We start from the raw sequence: 20,826 nt of genomic DNA, 5'->3' as shown, positions 1-20,826 counted from the left end.
CATGCCTATGTCCTGAATGGTATTGCCTAGGATTTCTTCTAGGGTTTTTATGGTTTTAGGACTAACATTTCAGTCTTTAATCCATCTTGAATTAATTTTTGTATAAGGTGTAAGGAAGGGATACAGTTTCAGCTTTCTACATGTGGCTAGCCAGTTTTCCCAGCACCATTTATTAAATAGGGAATCCTGTCCCCATTTCTTGTTTTTGTCAGGTTTGTCAAAATCAGATGGTTGTAGATGTGCGGTGTTATTTCTGAGGCCTCTGTTCTGTTCCATTGGTCTATAAATCTGTTTTGGTACCAGTACCATGCTGTCTTGGTTACTGTAGCCTTGTAGTATAGTTTGAAGTCAGGTAGCATGATGCCTCCAGCTTTGTTCTTTTTCTGTAGGATTCACTTGGCAATGTGGGCCCTTTTTTGGTTCCATATGAACTTTAAAGTAGTTTTTTCCAATTCTGTGAAGAAAATCAATGTTAGCTTGATGGGGATGACATTGAATCTATAAATTACTTTGGGCAGTATGGCCATTTTCATCATATTGATTCTTCCTATCCATGAGCATGGAATATTCTTCCATTTGTTCGTGTCCTCTTTTATTTCGTTGAGCAGTGGTTTGTAGTTCTCCTTGAAGAGGTCCTTCACATCCCTTGTAAGCTGGATTCCTAGGTATTTTATTCTCTTTGTAGCAATTGTGAATGGCTCATGATTTGGCTCTCTGTTTGTCTGCTAATGGTGTAGAGGAATGCTTGTGATTTTTGCCCATTGATTTTGTATCCTGAGACTTTGCTGAAGTTACTTATCAACTTAAGGAGATTTTGGGCTGAGACAGTGGGGTTTTCTAAATATACAGTCATGTCATCTGCAAACAGGGACAATTCGACTTCCTCATTTCCTAATTGAATACCGTTTATTTATTTCTCTTGCCTGATTGCCCTGGCCAGAATTTCCAACACTATGTTGAATAGGAGTGGTGAGAGAGCTCATCCTTGTCTTGTGCCAGTTTTCAAAGGGGATGCTTCCCGTTTTTGCCCATTCAGTAAGATATTGGCTATGGGTCTGTCAAAAATATCTCTTATTATTTTGAGGTATGTTCCATCAATACCTAGTTGATTGAGAGTTTTTAGCATGAAAGGCTGTTGAATTTTGTCAAAGGCCTTTTCTGCACCTATTGAGATAATCATGTGGTTTTTGTTGTTGGTTCTGTTTATGTGATGGATTACATTTATTGATTTGCATATGTTGAACCAGCCTTGCATCCCAGTGATGAAGCCGACTTGATCGTGGTGGATAAGCTTTTTGATATGCTGCTGGATTTGGTTTGCCAGTATTTTATTGAGGATTTTCACATTGATGTTCATCAGGGATATTGGTCTAAAATTCTCTTTTTTTGTTGTGTCTTTGCCAGGTTTTGTTATCAGGATGATGCTAGCCTCATAAAATGAGTTAGGGAGGATTCCCTCTTTTTCTATTGATTTGAATAGTTTCAGAAGGAATGGTACCAGCTCCTCTTTGTACCTCTGGTAGAATTCAGCTGTGAATCCGTATGGTCCTGGGCTTTTTTTTTTTTTTTTTTTTTTTTTGGTTGGTCGGCTATTAATTACTGCCTCAATTTCAGAACTTGATATTGGTCTATTCAGAGATTCAAGTTCTTCCTGGTTTAGTCTTGGGAGGGTGTATGTGTGCAGGAATTTATCCATTTCTTCTAGATTTTCTAGTTTATTTGTGTAGAGGTGTTTAGTATTCTCTGATGATAGTCTGTATTTCTGTGGGATTGGTGGTGATATCCCCTTTATCATTTTTTATTGCATCTATTTGAATCTTCTCTCTTTTCTTCTTTATTAGTCTTGCTAGCGGTCTATCAATTTTGTTGATCTTTTGAAAAAACCATCTCCTGGATTCATTGATTTTTTTTGAAGGGTTTTCTGTGTCTCTATCTCTTTCAGCTGTGCTCTGATCTTAGTTATTTTTTGTCTTCTGCTAGCTTTTGAATTTGTTTGCTCTTGCTTCTCTAGTTCTTTTAATTGTGATGTTAGAGTGTCGATTTTAGATCTTTCCTGCTTTTTCTTGTGGACATTTAGGGTTATAAATTTCCCTCTACACACTGCTTTAAATGTGTCCCAGAGATTCTGGTACATTGTGTCTTTGTTCTCATTGGTTTCAAAGAACATCTTTATTTCTGCCTTCATTTTGTTATTTACCCAGTAGTCATTCAGGAGCAAGTTGTTCAGTTTCCATGTAGTTGTGTGGTTTTGAGTGAGTTTCTTAATCCTGAGTTGTAATTGATTGCACTCTGGTCTGAGAGACAGTTTGTTGTGATTTCTGTTCTTTTACATTTGCTGAGGAGTGCATTACTTCCAATTATGTGGTCAATTTTAGAATAAGTGTGATGTGATGCTGAGAATAATGTATATTCTGTTGATTTGGAGTGGAGCTTTCCGTAGATGTCTAGTAGGTCTACTTGTTGCAGAGCTGAGTTCAGGTCCTGGATATCCTTGTTAACCTTCTGTCTGGTTGATCTGTCTAATATTGACAGTGGGGTGTTAAAGTCTCCCATTATTATTGCGTGGGCGTCTAAGTCTCTTTGTAGGTCTCTAAGGACTTGCTTTATGAATCTGGGTGCTCCTGTATTTGGTGCATATATATTTAGGATAGTTAGCTCTTCTTGTTGCGTTGATCCCTTTACCATTATATAATGGCCTTCTTTGTCTCTTTTGATCTTTGTTGGTTTAAAGTTGTTTTATCAGAGACTAGGATTGCAACCCCTGCTTTTTTTTGCTTTCCATTTGCTTGGTAGGTCTTCCTCCATCCCTTTATTTTAAGCTTATGTGTGTCTTTGCATGTGAAATGGGTCTCTTGAATACAGCACACTGATGGGTCTTGACTCTTTATCCAATTTGCCAGTCTGTGTCTTTTAATTGGGGCATTTAGCCCATTTACATTTAAGGTTAATATTGTTATATGTGAATCTGATCCTCTCACTACGATGTTTGCTGATTATTTTGCCCGTTAATTGATGCAGTTTCTTCATAGCATCAATGGTCTTTACAATTTGGGATGTTTCTGCAGTGGCTGGTACCGGTTGTTTCTTTCCATGTTTAATGCTTCCTTCAGGAGCTCTTGTAAGGCAGGCCTGGTGGTGACAAAATCTCTCAGCATTTGCTTGTCTGTAAAGGATTTTATTTCTCCTTCACTTATGAAGCTTAGTTTGGCTGGTTATGAAATTCTGGGTTGAAAATTCTTTTCTTTAAGAATGTTGAATATTGGCCCCCACTGTCTTTTGGCTTGTAGAGTTTCTGCCGAGAGATCCGCTGTTAGTCTGCTGGGCTTCCCTTTGTGGGTAACTTGACCTTTCTCTCTGGCTGCCCTTAACACATTTTCCTTCATTTCAACCTTGGTGAACCTGACATAAGCAGACATTTCACCAAAGAGGATATATAGATGTTAAGTAAGCATGAGAAATAACATCAGAGACAATGTAAACTAAAACCACAAGGAGACTAACAACATTAACAGAATGGCTAAAGTCATAAGCAGTGGCAACACTAAATGCGGCAAGAATGTGGAGATACTGGATCACTCATTCATTGCTGGTGGGAATATAAAGTTGTACAGCCACTTTGCAAAAAAGTTGGATAGTTTCTATAATGAAACATATAATTATCCTGTGACTCAGTAATTGCACTCTGGCATTTATCCCAGGGAAATAAAAACTTACGCTTGCACAAAAAAAAATTATACACAGATGTTCACAGCAGTTATAATAGTCAGAAGCTTTCTTCAGCAGGTGAATGATGAAACAATACATGGTACATCCATAACATGGAATGTTACTCAGAAAAAAATAAATAAAAAGGAACAAACTGTTGATACATGCAGGCCTCTGAAGATGTCAAAACATCATATGATACAGAAAATACAAAATATAGTTAATACACATGGGCATAGGTTTAAATATTCTATGTTACTGATTTCTTAATTGAGTTATATTTCTCAAGACTCTATTAAATAAAAAATAATGTTAGTTGCCTCAGATGCATTTAATTTTATCATATTGTGGTTATTTTGTGACTTTTTTTATTATACTTGAAGTAATGGGATACATATGCAGAACATGCAAGTTTGTTACATAGGTATATACGTGCCATGGTGGTTTGCTGCACCCATCAACCCGTCATCTACATTAGGTATTTCTCCTAATGCTATCACTTCCCTTTCCCCCCACCACCTGACAGGCCCCGATATGTGATGTTCCCCTCCCTGTGTCCATGTGTTCTCATCGTTCAACTCCCACTTATGAGTGAGAACATGCAGTGTTTGGTTTTCTGTTCCTGTGTTAGTTTGCCGAGAATGATGGTTTCCAGCTTCATCCATGTCCCTGCAAAGGATATGAACTCGTCCTTTGCTGTGGCTACATAGTATTCCATGGTGTATATATGCCACATTTTCTTTATCCAGCGTATCATTGCTGGGCATTTCGGTTGGTTCCAAGTCTTTGCTATTGTGAATAGTGCTGCAATAAACATACGTGTGCATGTGTGTTTAGAGTAGAATGATTTATAATCCTTTGGGTATATACTCAGTAATGAGATTGCTGGGTCAAATGATGTTTCTGGTTCTAGATCCTTGAGGAATCGCCACACTATCTTCCACAATGGCTGAACTAATTTAAACTCCCACTGACAGTATAATAGCATTCCTATTTCTCCACATCCTCTCCAGCATCCAGCATTTTAATGATCACCATTCTAACTGGCATGAGATGGTATCTCATTGTGGTTTTGATTTGCATGTCTCTAATGACCAGTGATGCTGAGCTTTTTTTCATATGTTTGTTGGCTGCATAAATGTCTTCTATTGAGAAGTGTCTGTTCATATCCTTTGCCCACTTTTTGATGGTTTTTTTTTTCTTGTAAATTTGTTTAAGTTCCTTGTAGATTCTGGATATTAGCCCTTTATGAGATGGACAGATTGCAAAAATTTTCTCCTATTCTGTAGATTGCCTGTTCACACTGATGATAGTTTCTTTTGCTGTACAGAAGTCTGTCAGTTTAATTAGATCCCATTTGTCAATTTTTGCTTTTGTTGCCATTGCTTTTGGTGTTTTAGTCATGAAGTCTTTGCCCATGCCTATGTCCTGAATGGTATTGCCTAGGTTTTCTTCTAGGGTTTTTATGGTTTAGGTCTTATGTTTAAGTCTTTGCCCAAGCCTATGTCCTAGGTTTTCTTCTAGTGTTTTCATGGTTTTAGGTCTTACATTTAAGTCTTTAATCCATCTCGAGTTAACTTTTGTATAATGTATAAGGAAGGAGTCCAGTTTCAGTTTTCTACATGTGGCTAGCCAGTTTTCCCAGCACCATTTATTAAATAGGGAATCCTTTCCCCACTGCTTGTTCTTGTCAGGTTTGTCAAAATCAGATGGTTGTAGATGTGCGGTGTTATTTCTGAGTTCTCTGTTCTGTTCCATTAGTCTATATATCTGTTTTGGTAGCAGTACCATGCTGTTTTGGTTACTGTAGCCTTGTAGTATAGTTTGAAGTCAGGTAGCATGATGCCTCCAGCTTTGTTCTTTTTACTTAGGATTGTCTTGGCTATATGGGCTCTTTTTAGGCTCTGTGTGAACTTTAAAGTAGTTTTTTCTAATTCGGTGAAGAAAGTCAATGGTAGCTTGATGAGGATAGCATTGAATCCATAAATTACTTTGGGCAGTATGGCCATATTCATGATATTGATTCTTCCTATCCATGAGCATGGAGTGTTTTTCCATTTGTATGTGTCCTCTCTTATTTCATTGAGCAGTGGTTTGTAGTTCTCCTTGAAGAGGTCCTTCACATCACTTTTAAGTTGTATTCCTAGGTATTTTATTCTCTTTGTAGCAATTGTGAATGGGAGTTCACTCATGATTTGGTTCTCTGTTTGTCTATTATTGGCATATAAGAATGCTTGTGATTTTTAAAGACCTGGAACCAACCGAAATGTCCAACAATGATAGACTAGATTAAGAAAATGTGGCACATATACTCCATGGAATACTATGCAGCCATAAAAAATGATGAGTTCATGTCCTTTGTAGGGACATGGATGAAGCTGGAAACCATCATTCTCAGCAAACTATCACAAGGACAAAAAAACAAACACCGCATGTTCTCACTCATAGGTGGGAATTGAACAATGAGAACACTTGGACACAGGAAGGGGGACATCACACACCGGGGCCTGTTGTGGGGTGGGGGGAGGGGGGAAGGATAGCATTAGGAGATATACGTAATGTAAATGACGAGTTAATGGGTGCAGCACACCAACATGGCACGTGTATACATATGTAACAAACCTGCACATTGTGCACATGTACCCTAGAACTTAAAGTATAATAAAAAAAAAAGAAAAAAGAAAGCTGGATTTCACTCCAAAATGTAAAAAATAAAAAAATAAAATAAAAAGAATGCTTGTGATTTTTGCACATTGATTTTGTATCCTGAGATTTTACTGAAGTTGCTTATCAAGTTGCTTATCAACTTAAGGAGATTTTGGGCTGAGACAGTGGGGTTTTCTAAATATACAATCATGTCATCTGCAAACAGGGACAATTTGACTTCCTCTTTTCCTAATTGAATACGCTTTATTTCTTTCTCTTGCCTGATTGCCCTGGCCAGAACTTCCAACACTATGTTGAATAGGAGTGCTGAGAGAGGGCATCCTTGTCTTGTGCCAGTTTTCAAAGGGAATGCTTCGGGATTTTGCCCATTCAGTATGATATTGGTTGTGGGTTTGTCATAAATAGCTTATTATTTTGAGGTACGTTCCTTCAGTACCTAGTTTATTGAGAGTTTTTAGCATGAATGGGGTGTTGAATTTTATCGAAAGCCTTTTCTTCATCTATTGAAATAATCATGTGGTTTTTGTTGTTGGTTCTGTTTATGTGATGGATTACATTTATTGATTTGCATATGTTGAACCAGCCTTGCATCCCAGTGATGAAGCTGACTTGATCATGGTGGATAAGCTTTTTGATGTGCTGCTGGATTTGGTTTGCCAGTATTTTATTGAGGATTTTTGCATTGATGTTCATCAGGGATATTGGCCTCAAATTTTCCTTTTTTGTTGTGTCTCTGCCAGGTTTTGTTATCAGGATGATGCTAGCCTCATAAAATGAGTTAGGGAGGATTCCCTCTTTTTCTGTTGTTTGGAATAGTTTCAGAAGGAATGGTACCAGCTCCTCTTTATACCTCGAATAGAATTCGGCTGTGAATCCTTATGGTCCTGGGCTTTTTTTTTTTTTTTTTTTTGGTTGGTAGGCTATTAATTACTGCCTGAATTTCACAACTTGATATTGGTCTGTTCAGGGACTCAACTTCTTTCTGGTTTAGCCTTGGGAGGGTGTATGTGTCCAGGAATTTATCCATTTCTTCTAGATTTTCTCATTTATTTGTGTAGAGGTGTTTATAGTATTCTCTGACAGTAGTTTGTATTTCTGTGGGATCAGTGGTGACCTACCCTTTATCATTTTTTATTGTGTCTATTTGATTTTTCTCTTTTTTCTTCTTTATTAGTCTGGCTAGCAGTCTTATCTATTTTGTTTATATTTTCAAAAAAAACAGCTCCTGGATTCTTTGGTTTTTTGAAGGGTTTTTCATGTCCCTGTCTCCTTCAGTTGTGCTCTGATCTTAGTTATTTCTTGTCTTCTGCTAGCTTTTGAATTTGTTTGTTCTTGCTTCTCTGTTTCTTTTCATTTTGATGTTAGGGTGTAAATTTTAGGTCTTTCCTGGTTTCTTTTTTGGGAATTTAGTGCTATAAATTTCCCTCTAAACATTGCTTTAGCTGTGTCCGAGAGATTCTGGTACATTGTGTCTGTGTTCTCATTGGTTTCAAATAACTTATTTATTTCTTCCTTAATTTCATTATTTACCCAGTAGTCATTCAGGAGCAAGTTGTTCAGTTTCCATGTAGTTGTGTGGTTTTGAGTTCCTTAATCCTGAGTTCTAATTGATTGCACCATGGTCTGAGAGACTGTTTGTTATGATTTCTGTTCTTTTGCATTTGCTGAAGAGTGTTTTACTTCCAATTACATGGTCAATTTTAGAATAAGTGCAATGTGGTACAGAGAAAAATGTATATTCTGTTGATTTGGGGTGGAGAGTTCTGTAGATATCTATTAGGTCTGCTTGGTCCAGAACTAAGTTCAAGTCCTGAATATCCTTGTTAATTTTCTGTGTCATTGATCTGTTTGATATTGACAGTGGGGTGTTAAAGTCTCCCACAATTATTGTGTGGGAGTCTAAGTCTCTTTGTAGGTCTCTAAGAACTTGTTTTATGAATCTGGGTGCTCTTGTATTGGGTGCATATATATTTAGGATAGTCAGCTCTTCTTGTTGCATTGATCCATTTACCATTATGTAATGGCCTTCTTTGTCTCTTTTGATCTTTGTTGGTTTAAAGTCTGTTTTATCAGAGACTAGGATTGCAACCCTTGCTTGTTTTGCTTTCCATTTGCTTGGTAAATATTCCTACATCCCTTTATTTTAAGCTTATGTGTGTCTTTGCATGTGAGATGAGTCTCCTGAATACAGCACAGTGATGGGTTTCGACTCTTTATCCAATTTGCCAGTCTGTGTCTTTTAATTGGGGCATTTAGCCCATTTACATTTAAGGTTAATATTGTTATATGTGAATTTGATCCTGTCATTATGATGTTAGCTGGTTATTTTGCCCATTAGTTGATGCAGTTTCTTCATAGTGTCGATGGTCTTTACAATTTGGTATGTTTTTGCAGTGGCTGGTACTGGTTTTTCCTTTCCACATTTAGTGCTTCCTTCAGGAGCTGTTGTCAGGCAGGCCTGGTGGTGACAAAATGTCTCAGCATTTGCTTGTCTGTAAAGTATTTTATTTCTTCTTCACTTATGAAGCTTAGTTTGGCTGGATATGAAATTCTGGGTTGAAAATTCTTTTCTTTGAGAATGTTGCATATTGGTCCCCACTCTCTTCTGGCTTGTGGGGTTTCTGCTGAGAGATCCACTGCTAGTCTGATGGGCTTCCCTTTCTGGGTAACCCGACTTTTCTCTCTGGCTGCCCTTAACATTTTCTCCTTCATTTCAACCTTGATGAACCTGACAATTATGTGTCTTGGGGTTGCTCTTCTCAAGAATTATCTTTGTGGTGTTCTCTGTGGTTCCTGAATTTGAATGTTGGCCTGCCTTGCTAGGTTGAGGAAGATCTCCTGGATAATACCCTGAAGAGTGTTTTCCAACTTGGTTCCATTCTCCCTGTCACTTTCAGGTACACCAATCAAATGTAGGTTTGATGTTTTCACATAGTCCCATATTTCTTAGAGGCTTTGTTCATTCCTTTTCATTCTTTTTTTTTTTCTCTAATCTTGTCTTCACACTTTATTTCATTCAGTTGATCTTCAATCTCTGATATCCTTTCTTCCACTTGATCAGTTTGGCTATTGATACTTGTGTATGCTTCACGAAGTTCTCTTGCTGTGTTTTTCAGCTCCATCAGGTCATTTATGTTCTTCTGTAAACTGGTTATTCTAGTTAACAATTCGTCTAACCTTTTTTCACGGTTCTTAGCTTCCTTGCATTGGGTTAGAACATGCTTCTTTAGCTCAGAGGATTTTGTTATCACCCACCTTCTGAAGCCTACTTCTGTCAATTTGTCAAACTCATTGTCTGTCCAGTTTTGTTCCTTTGCTGGCCAAGAGTTGTGATCCTTTGGAGGAGAAGAGGCATTCTGGTTTTTGGAATTTTCAGCCATTTTGTGCTGGTTTTTCCTCATCTTCGTGGATTCATCTACCTTTGGTCTTTGATGTTGGTGACCATCGGATGGAGTTTTTGTGTGGACGTCCTTTTTGTTGATGTTGATGCTATACTTTTCTGTTTGTTAGCTTCCCTTCTAACAGGCCCCTCTGCTGCAAGTCTGCTGGAATTTTCTGGAGGTCCACTCCAGACCCTGTTTGCCTGGGTATCACCAGTGGAGGCTGCAGAGCAGCAAAGATTGCTGCCTGTTCCTTCCTCTGGAAGCTTCGTCCCAGAGGGGCACCCACCAGATGCCAGCTGGAGCTTTCCTGTATGAGGTGTCTGTTGACCCCTGCTGGAGGTGTCTCCCATTCAGGAGACACAGGGGTCAGGGACCCACTTGAGCAGGCAGTCTGTCCCTTAGCAGAGCTGGAGCACTGTGCTCTCTTTAGAGCCAGAAGGCAGGAACATTTAAGTCTGCTGAAGCTGCTCCCACAGCCACCCCTTCTCCCAGGTGCTCTGTTGCAGGGAACTGGGAGTTTTATCTATAAGCCCCTGACTGGGGCTGCTGTCTTTCTTTCAGAGATGCCATGCCCAGAGAGGAGTAATCTAGAGAGGCAGTCCGTCTACAGTGGCTTTGCTAAGCTGCAGTGGGCTCTGCCCATTTTGAACTTCCCCGAGGCTCGGCTTTGTTTACACTGTGAGGGGGAAACCACATACTCAAGCCTCAGTAATGGCGGATGCCCCTCCCCCCACCAACCTGAAGCGTCCCAGGTCGACTTCAGACTGCTGTGCTCGCAATGAGAATTTCAAGCCAGGAAATCTTAGCTTGCTGGGCTCCTTGGGGGTCAGATCTGCTGAGCTAGGCCACTTGGCTCCCTGGCCTCATCCCCCTTTCCAGGGCAGTGAATGGTTCTGTCTGGCTGGTTTCCCATGTGCCACTGGGGTATGAAAAAAAACTCCTGCAGCTAGCTCGGTGTCTGCCCAAATGGCTGTCCAGTTTTGTGCTTGAAACCCATGGCCCTGGTGCTGTAGGTACCCGAGGGAATCTCCTGGTCTGCGGGTTGCAAAGACCATGGGAAAAGTGTAGTTTCTGGGCCAGAATGCACCATTCCTCATGGCACAGTCCCTCATGGCTTCCCTTGGCTAGGGGAGGGAGTTCCCTGACCCCTTGCACTTCCTGGGTGAGGCAAGGCCCCACCCTGATTCTGCTCTCTCTCCATGGGCTGCACCCACTGTCTAACCAGTCCCAGTGAGATGAGCCAGGTACCTCAGTTGGAAATGCAGAAATCACCCACCTTCTGTGTTGATCTCACTGGGAGCTGCAGACCAGAGCTGTTCCTATTAGGCCATCTTGCCAGCCATACACCCTTTTTTGTTTTGTTTTGTTTTGTTTTGTTGAGACAGAGTCTCACTCTTTCACCCAGGCTGCAGTGCAGTAGCGCAGTCTCGGCTCACTGCAACCTCAGCTTCCTGGGTTCAAGTGATTCTCCTGCCTCGGCTTCCCCAGTAGCTGTGATTACAGGCATGTGCCACCATGCCCAGCTAATTTTTGTATTTTTAGTAGAGACAGGGTTTCACCATGTAGGCCAGGCTGGTCTCTAACTCCTGACCTCAGGTGATTCACCTGCCTTGGCCTCCCAAAGTGCTGGGATTACAGGTGTGAGCCACCGTGCCTGGCCTGTTTTGTGACTTTTTGTGCACTGTTTGATATTCACAACCTTTCCTTTTTCCAGCTATTTGTGGATTAGGTATTATATCTTTTGGTTTTGTTTTTTATTTTGCTATAAGCATGAAATGTTTCATATGTGCTTGAAAAAAATAAAAGTGGGGATCATGCTAATTTCCTGTGAGTCATCCACTTGATAGGTGGTAAGACAAGAAAGAGAAAATCTAGAACTGCTGTAGAATGCAGAGATGTGCAAGGAGCAGAAGTCTGAGGAACTGAATTCCTAGTAAGTTTAAAAAGTCTGCAAATGCAGTCATGCCTGTGTTTGGTGGAAATGTGAAGACTGCAGAAACCACTTCAAGTTATGTACTTGGGCAGACCAGCAGGGAACATTCTGAGAGATGTATAGGACAGGAGGACCAGGAAAGGGACAGCAATAAATTCAGGTTGCCAGGGAGTTCCAGAGAGGAATCATGGCCCGAGCTAAGGAGTTGTACTGTGATCAGAGGCTGAGACAGAGGACAGGCTGGCCTAGAGGGAGGGCTAAGAAGCAATCCAAGTGACCATGTAAAGCTGCCAATTCTAGATTGTCGATTCTGTTCCATTAACCTGTATGTATATGTGCCCCTGACAAGAGTCCCTGGCCAAGATGGCAAGTGAAGCTTGACTCCGGCTCACTCTGTTCACCAAGCCTTGTGTTGAGATGCAGCACTGCAGCCACCTGGAGGAGGAATCTTATTCCAATTTTTTTCTTCCATATTTCTTTTTAATTAACATACAATTTATATACCATAAAACATACCCTTTTAAAAGTTCAGTAGTTTTTAGCATATTCACAAAGTTATGCAGTTATGTGATTTCAAAACATTTTCATTACCCCCCAAAGAAACCCTGTAACCATTAGCAGTCATTTCTCATTCCCCCCACCTCCCAGCTCCTAGTCTGCTTTCCATCTTTATAAACTTGCCTTGTCTTGACATTTCATATAAGTGGAATCATACAACATGCAACCTGTATATCCAGCTTCTTTCTCCTAGCATAATGTTTTCAAGGTTCATTCATTCAAAATACTTCCTTCCTTTTTATGGCTGAAAAATATTCCATTGTATGGATATACTCCATTTTTTTGTCCATTCATTAACTGATGGATATTTTAGTTGTTTTCAATTTGTGACTGTCATGAACAATGCTTCTGTGAATGTTCGTATCCAAGTTTTTGTGTGGGTCTTGAAGATTATGCCTTTGTTTTCTTTGAAGAATTTTCTAGTTTTATGTCTTATATTTGGTCTTTCATCTATTTTGAGTTAATTTTTGTGTATGGTGTAAGGCAGAGGTCCAAATTTGTTCTTGTTCATATCCAGTCGTCCCAGGACTGTTGTTGAAAATACACTGCTGTTGAAAATACAGAAAATTCTCTCCCCCACTGAATGGTCTTGGCACCCTTGTTAAAAATCAGTTGACCATATATGTGATGGTTTAATTCTAGACTCTTGATTCTGTTCCATTGATCTATATGTCTGGCCTTATGCCACTACCACCACCCTGTCTTGATCATTGTAGCATGGTAGTAAATTTTGAAACCAAGGAGTATGAGGCCTACAACTTTGTCCTTTTTCAAGATTATTTTGTTTATTCTGAGTCCCTTGCATCTCTACATGAATTTTAGGATCCCGTTGTCAATTTCTGAAAACAACACAAAACAAACAATAAACTAAATGACATTTTGACAGGGATTGTTTGAATCTACAGATTTATTTCAGGAATACTGCCATGTTAACAATGTCAAATCTTTCAATCTATGAACAAAAAAAGTCATTTCATTTAATTAGGTATTCTCTAATTTCTTTCAACAGTATCTTGTAGTTGTCAGGGTATGACTTTTGCTCATCTTTTGTTAAATTTATTCCTAAGTATTTTATTCCTTCTTATGCTATTGAAAGTGGAATCGTTTTCTTAATTTCATTTTTTATTGTTCACTGCTAGTGTATAGATATACAGTTGAGTATTGTATATTAACTTTGTATTCTGTAAACTGCTGGATGTATTACCTCTAAATCGTTTTGTGTGGATTCCTTAGAAGTTTCTACATACAATATCATTTTGTGTGCAGATAGAGATAGTTTTACTTCTTCATTTTCAATGTCAATGGCTTTCATTTCTTTTTCTTGTTTCATTGCCCTAGCTAGACCCTCCACAGTACTGAACAGAAGTTGTGAGAATAGACAATCTTTGTCTTGTTCCAGATATTAGGAGAAAATCTTCCAATCTTTCACCATTAAATATCATAATTGCCATGAGTGTTTTTGGAGATTCCCTTTATCAAGTTACAGAAGTTTTCTACTGTTCTTAGTGTTTAATACTGTTGTTCTTGTTGTCGTTTTTAACATGAAAGGGCATTGGATTTCTCAATTTTTTTTCTGCATTGAGATAATTGTATGGTTTTTGTCCTTAATTTTATTAATATGATATATTACATTCATTGTTTTACCCTGGAACAAATCCCACCTAATCATGATGTATCCTTTTTATATGTTGCTGGCTTCAGTTTGTTAGTTTTGTTGAATATTTTGGCATCTATATTCATAAGAGATATTGCTCTGTAGTTTTTTTTTTTTTCATAATGACTTTTTCTGATTTTAGCATCAGGGAAATAGTGACCTTACAGAGTGAGATGGGATATTTTCCCTCCTCCTTTTTTTTTTTTTTTCACAGAGACAGAGTCTCGCTCTGTCACCCAGGCTGGAGTGCCGTGGCACAATCTTGGCTCACTGCCAACCTCCCCTGCCCGGGTTCAAACAATTCTCCTGCCTCAGCCTCCTGAGTAGCTGGGGCTACAGGCACGAGCCACCATGTCTGGCTTGTTTTTTTGTATTTTTAGTAGAGACGGGGTTTCGCCACATTGGCCAGGCTGTTCTCGAACTCCCGACCTCAGGTGATCCACCCGCCTTGGCCTCCCAAAGCACTAGGATTACAGGCATGAGCCACTGCGTCCAGCCCCTCCTCCTCTTCTTTGTGGAAGAATTTGTGAAGTACTGCTGTTAATTCTTTTTAAACATTTGGCAGAATTCACTAGTGAAACCATCTGGAACTGAGTTTTTCTTAGTGGGAAGAATCACTTGAAACTGGGAGGTGGAGGTTGCAGTGAGCCGAGATTGTACCACTGCAGTGAGCCGATATTGTGCCACTGCACTCCAGCCTGGGTGACAGAGCGAGATTCATCTCTAAATAAATAAATAAATAAATAAAATGTTGTTCAATTCCTCTTTCCTTGTTATAACAATATTCTGTTTAGTTCTATCCATTGTTGAATGAGGGATATTGAAGTTTTCAACTATTATTGTTGAATTATCTATTTCTCCCTTTAATTCTGTCCATTTTTGTTTTTATTTTGGGAACCTATTATTCTGGGAGTATGTATATTAGGGGAGTATATATATAATTTTTGTTTTCTTAATAGATTGCTATCTATATATGTTATAAATTCAATAATATAGTCATATGACTATTGCTTTATATATATAGTTTTATTTTATTGCTTATATTTTTATTGCTTATATTTATTGCTTTATATATATTTTTACATATAGAATAGTCTCATTCTTAAATAAATAAAAAACAGAAACTACATATTATGCAGTCTATTACATACACCAAAATATTTACTATTTCTGGAATTCTTTGTTTCTATGAATTTTAGCAGCTATCTGGGGGAAATTTCCTTTCTACTTGAAAGATTTTCTTTAGAATTTTTCGAAAGTGAGTCTGCTAGCAATGAATTATCTTTGTTTATCTGGGGATGTCTTTATTTCACCTTCAGTTTTAGATAATTTTCTGGATATAAAATTCTTGGTTGACAGCATTTGTCTCAGCATGCAGAATGTCATGGAACTTCTTTCTGGTCTCCATTGTTTCTAATGAGAAATCAGTCGGTATTAGTATTAATAATCTCCTGCATGCAATGAGTCATTTTTACTTCCTCCTTTCCAAATTTCTGTCTTTTATTTCAAGTGTTCGATAAAGGTGTGTCTAGGTGAGGCTCTCTTTAAACTACGTGAGGTTTGTTGTGTTCTTATATCTGTTGACTAATCCATTTTTAAATAGAATTTGGGACATTTTCCAGGATTATGTCTTAAATTTTTTTTCTGTTTCTTTCTTTCTCCTCTCTCTTTCTGGAACTCCTATTATACCTACATTAATACCCTTGATATTGTACCACAAGTCTCTGTACTTTTTTCGTTTTTCTTTAGGCTTTTTTCTCTTTCAGTTCTTCAGATTAGATTGTTTTTATTTATCTATCTTTGTTTAATAATTCTGTGTTTTTTTAACTTTTATTTTAGATTCAGGGGGTACATGTGCAGGTTTGCTATATAGCTAAGCTTATCTTACAGATTATTTCATGAGCCAGGTACTAAGCCTAGTACCCAATAGTTATTTTTTCTGATCCTCTCCCTCCTCCCACCCTCAAGTAGGCCCCAGTGTCTTTTTTGCCCTCTTTGTGTCCATGTGTTCTCATCATTTAGCTCCAATTTAAAAGTAAGAACATATGGTATTTGGTTTTCTGTTCCTGCATCAGTTTGCTAAGAATAATGGCCTCCAGCTCCATTCGTGATCCTGCAAAAGACATGAGCTTGTTCATTTTTATGGCTACATAGTATTTGATGATGTATATGTACCATATTTTCTTTATCCAATCTGCCATTAATGGGCATTTAGGTTGGTTCCATGTCTTTGTAATTGTGAATAGTGCTGCCGTGAACACAGTGTGCATGTCTCATTATGGTAGAATGATTTATATTCCTTTGGGTATATACCTAGTAATGAGATTGCTGGGTCAAGTGGTAGTTGTTTTTAGCTCTTTGAGGAATAACTACACTGCCTTCCACAATGGTTGAACTAATTTACACTTCCACCAACAGTGTATAAATGTTCCCTTTTCTCTGCAACCTCACCAGCATCTGCTATTTTTTTGAACTTTTTAATAATAGTCATTCTGACTGGTGTGGGATGGTATCTCCCTGTGGTTTTGATTTGTATTTCTCTAGTGATCAGTGATGTTGAGGTTTTTTTTCATATGCTTGTTGACTGTATCTATGTCTTCTTTTGAGAAGTATCTGTTCATGTCCTTTGCCCACTTTTCAATGGGGTTGTTTTGTAAATTTGTTTAAGTTCCTTATAAATGGTGGATATGAGACCTTTGATGCATAGTTTGCAAAATTTTTCTCCAATTCTGTAGGTTGTCTGTTTATTGATAGTTTGTTTTGCTGTGCAGAAACAAATTTAATTTAAATTAAATTAGATCCCATTTGTCAATTTATCGTGGTTGCTTTTGGTGATTTCATCATGAAATCTTTGCCCATACCTATGTTGGGTTTTTTTGGGGGGGTTGTTTGTTTGTTTGTTTGTTTTGAGATGGAGTCTCTGTCACCCAGGCTGGAGTACAGTGGTGCAATCTCGGCTCACTGAAATGCCCACCTCCCAGGTTCAAGCAATTCTCCTGCCTCGACCTCCCAAGCAGCTGGGATTACAGGTGCCTGCTACCATGCTCAGCTAATTTTTGTATTTTTAGTAGAGACAGGGTTTTGCCATGTTAGCCAGGCTGATCTCGAACTCCTGACCTCAGGTGATCCATCCAACTCGGTCCCAAAGTGCTGCAATTACAGACCCCATGCCTATGTCTTGAGTGGTATTGCCTAGGTTGTCTTCCAGGGTTTTTATAGTTTTGGGTTTTACATTTAAGTCTTTAATCCACCTTGAGTTGATTTTTGTATATGGTGTAAGCAAGGGGTCCAGTTTCAGTTTTCTGCATATGGCTAGCCAGTTATTCCAGCACTATTTATTGAATAGGGCATCCTTTCCCCATTGCTTGTTTTTGTCAAGTTTGTCAGAGATCAGATGGTTGTAGGTGTGTGGCCTTATTTCTGAGCTCTCTGTTCTGTTCCATTGGCTCTATGTGTCTGTTTTTGTACCAGGACCATGCTTTTTTCATTATTATAGCCCCATAGTATAGTTTGAAGTTGAGTAACGTGACACCTCCAGCTTTGTCCTTTTTGCTTGTGATTGCCTTAGCTTTTCAGGTTCTTTTTTGGTTCCATATGAATTATTAATGTAAAATAGTTTTTTTCTAGTTTTTTAGTAGAGACAGGGTTTCGCCATGTTAGCCAGGCTGGTCTCAAACTCATGACCTCGGGTGATCCATCCAACTCAGTCCCAAAGTACTGGGATTACAGACCCCATGCCTATGTCTTGAGTGGTATTGCCTAGGTGAAAAATGTCATTGGTAGATAGGTTTGAACCTATAAATTTCTTTGGCCAGTATGGCCATTTTAATGATATTGAGTCTTCCTATTCATGAGCATGGAATGTTTTTCCATTTGTTTGTGTTATCTCTGACTTCTTTGAGCAGTGTTTTGTAATTTTCATTGTAGAGATCTTACAATCCCTGGTTAGCTGTATTCCTGGGTGTTTTATTCTTTTTGTGGCAACTGTGAATGGGATTGCTTTCCTGATTTGGCTCTCAGCTTGGCTGTTATTGGTGTACAGGAATTCTAGTGATTTTTATACATTGATTTTGTATCCTGAGATTTTGCTGAAGTTGTTTATCAGCTTAAAGAGCTTTTGGGCTGAGATGATGGGATTTTCTAGATAAAGAATCATGTCATTTGCAAACAAAAAATAGTTTGACTTCCTGTCTTCCTATTTCAATGCATTTTATTTTATTTTTTAGTTTTACTTTAAGTTCTGGGATACATGTGCTGAATGTGCAGGTTTGTTACATAGGTATACATGTGCCATGGTGGTTTGCTCCACCTATCAACCCATCATCTAGGTTTTAAGCCCTGCATGTATTAGATATTTGTCCTAATGCTCTTCCTCTTCTTTCCCTGCACATCTGACAGGCCCTGGTGTGTGATGTTCCCCTCCCTGTGTCCATGTGTTCTCATTGTTCAACTCCTACTTATGAGTGAGAACATGCAGTGTTTGGTTTTCTGTTTCTGTGTTAGTTTGCTGCAGATGATGGTTTCCAGCTTCATCCAAGTCCCTGCAAAGGGCATGACCTCATTCTTTTTTATGGCTGCATAGTATTCCATGGTGTATATGTGCCATATTTTCTTTATCCAGCCTATCATTGCCAGGCATTTGGGTTGGTTCCAAGTCTTTGCTATTATAAATAATGCTGCAATAAACATACATGTGCATATGTCTTTATGGTAGAATGATTTATAATCCTTTGGGTATATACCCAGTAATGGGATTGCTGGATCTAATGGTATTTCTGGTTCTAAATCCTTGAGGAATTGCCACACTGTGTTCCACAATGGTTGAACTAATTTACACTCCCACCAACAGTGTAAAAGCATTCCTATTTCTCCACATCCTCACCAGCATCTGTTGTTTCCAGACTTTTTAATACTCACCATTCTCACTGGCATGAGATGGTATCTCACTGTGGTTTTGATTTGCATTTCTATAATGACCAGTGATGATGAGCTTTTTTTCAAATGTTTGTTAGCCACATAAATGTCTTCTTTTGAGAAGTGTCTGTTCATATCCTTTGCCCACTTTTTGATGGTTTTTTTTTATAAATTTGTTTTAAGTTCCTTGTAGCTTCTGGATATTAGACCTTTGTTAGATGGATACATTGCAAAAATTTTCTCCCATTCTGTAGGTTGCCTGTTCATGCTGATGATAGTTTATTTTGCTGTGAAGAAGCCCTTCAGTTTAATTAGATCCCAATTGTCAATTTTGGCTTTTGTTGCCATTGCTTTTGGTGTTTCAGTCATGAAGTCTTTGCCCATGCCAGTGTCCAGAATGATATTGCCTAGGTTTTCTTCTAGGGTTTTTATGGTTTTAGGTCTTACTTTTAAGTCTTCAATCCATCTTGAGTTAACTTTTGTATAAGGTGTAAGGAAGGTGTCCAGTTTCAGTTTTCTGCATATGGCTAGCCAGTTTTCCCAACACCATTTATTAAATAGGGCATCCTTTCCCCATTGCTTGTTTTTGTCAGGTTTGTCAAAGATCAGATGGTTGTAAATGTGTGGCATTATTTCTGAGGCCTCTGTTCTGTTTCGTTGGTCTATATATCTGTTTTGGTACCAGTACCATACTGTTTTGGTTACTCTAGCCTTGTCATAAGTAAAAAGAACAAAGCTAGTGGCATCACACTACCTGAATGCCATTTATTTCTTTCTCTTGCCTGAGTGCTAAGGCCAGGACATCCAATACTATGTTGAATAGGGGTGGTGAGAGAGGGCATCCTCGTCTTATGCCAGTTTTCAGGGGGAATGCTTCCTGGTTTTGTCCATTCTGTATGATGTTGGCTGTGGTTTAGTCATAGATGGCTCTTATTATTTTGAGGTATGTTCCTTCAATACAAAGTTTATTGAGAGTTTTTAACATAAATGAATGTTGAATTTTATCAAAAGTTTTTCTGCATCTATTGAACTAATAATGTGATTTTTGTCTTTAGTTCTGTTTATGTGATGAATCACATTTGTTGATTTGCATATATTGAACCAACCTTGCATCCCAGGGATAAAGCCTTCTTGATCATGGTGGATTAACTTCTTGATGTGCTGCTGGATTCAGTTTCCAAGTATTTTGTTGAGGATTTTTGCCTCAGTGTTCATCAAGGATATGGGGCTGAAGTTTTCTTTGTTGTGTCTCTGCCAGGTTTTGGTTTCAGGATGATGCTGGCCTCACAGAATTAGTTGGGGAGGAGTCCCTTCTCATTTTGTTGGAATAGTTTCAGTAGGAATGGTACCAGCTCTTCTTTCTTTATTTTAATGGCAGAATGCAGCTGTGAATCCATCTGGTCCTGGACTTTTTGGTTGATAGACTATTTATTACTGATTCAATTTCAAAGCTCATTATTGGTCTGGTCAGGGAAGCAATTTCTTCCTGGTTCAGTCTTGAGAAGGTATATGTGTCCAGGAATTTATTTATCTCTTCTAGGTTTTCTAATTTGTGTGCATGTGTGCATAGAGGTGTTCATAATAGTCTGTAATAGTTATTTGTATTTCTGTGGGGTCAATGGTAACATCCCATTTGTCATTTCTGATTGTGTTTATTTGGATCTGTCTTTTCTTCTTTATTAGTCTAGGTAGTGGACTACCTTATTAATGTTTTTCAAAACACCAACTCTTGGATTTGCTTATTTTTTCATGGCTTTTAATGTCTTGATCTCCTTCAATTCAGCCCTGATTTTGGTTATTTCTTGTCTTCTGCTAGCTCTGGAGTTGGTTTGCTCTTGCTTCTCTAGTTCTTTTAGTTGCAGGGTTAGGTTATACATTTGAGATGATTCTAACTTTTGATATTAAGTTGGAATTTAGTGCTATAAATTTCCCTCTTAACACTGCCTTAGCTGTGTCCCAGAGATTCTGGTATGTTGTATCTTTGTTCTCATTAGTTTCAAAGAATTTCTTGA

At 38.5% G+C, this 20,826-nt stretch overlaps 1 protein-coding gene across 1 annotated transcript in view, besides 2 other annotated features; it reads left to right on the top strand.

Moving 5' to 3' along the window:
• Nucleotides 1-20,826, top strand: part of RTN1 (reticulon 1) — a 274,801-nt gene that overhangs the window by 202,235 nt on the left and 51,740 nt on the right. The window lies entirely within an intron of this gene.
• Nucleotides 10,092-10,591: an enhancer, noted in NCBI's record as "H3K27ac hESC enhancer chr14:60124669-60125168 (GRCh37/hg19 assembly coordinates)". NCBI's record gives its function as "activates a minimal SCP1, AML or CMV promoter by ChIP-STARR-seq in naive H9 embryonic stem cells {active_cell/tissue: H9 hESC(naive)}" and the evidence as "EXISTENCE:reporter gene assay evidence [ECO:0000049][PMID:30033119]".
• Nucleotides 10,592-11,093: an enhancer, noted in NCBI's record as "H3K27ac hESC enhancer chr14:60124167-60124668 (GRCh37/hg19 assembly coordinates)". NCBI's record gives its function as "activates a minimal SCP1, AML or CMV promoter by ChIP-STARR-seq in primed H9 embryonic stem cells {active_cell/tissue: H9 hESC(primed)}" and the evidence as "EXISTENCE:reporter gene assay evidence [ECO:0000049][PMID:30033119]".

Source organism: Homo sapiens, chromosome 14 (genome assembly GCF_000001405.40).
Source record: "Homo sapiens chromosome 14, GRCh38.p14 Primary Assembly".
Taxonomy (NCBI): Eukaryota; Metazoa; Chordata; class Mammalia; order Primates; family Hominidae; genus Homo; species Homo sapiens.
Note: the sequence above shows the minus strand (reverse complement) of the source record. Positions and strands in the feature narration are given on the sequence as shown.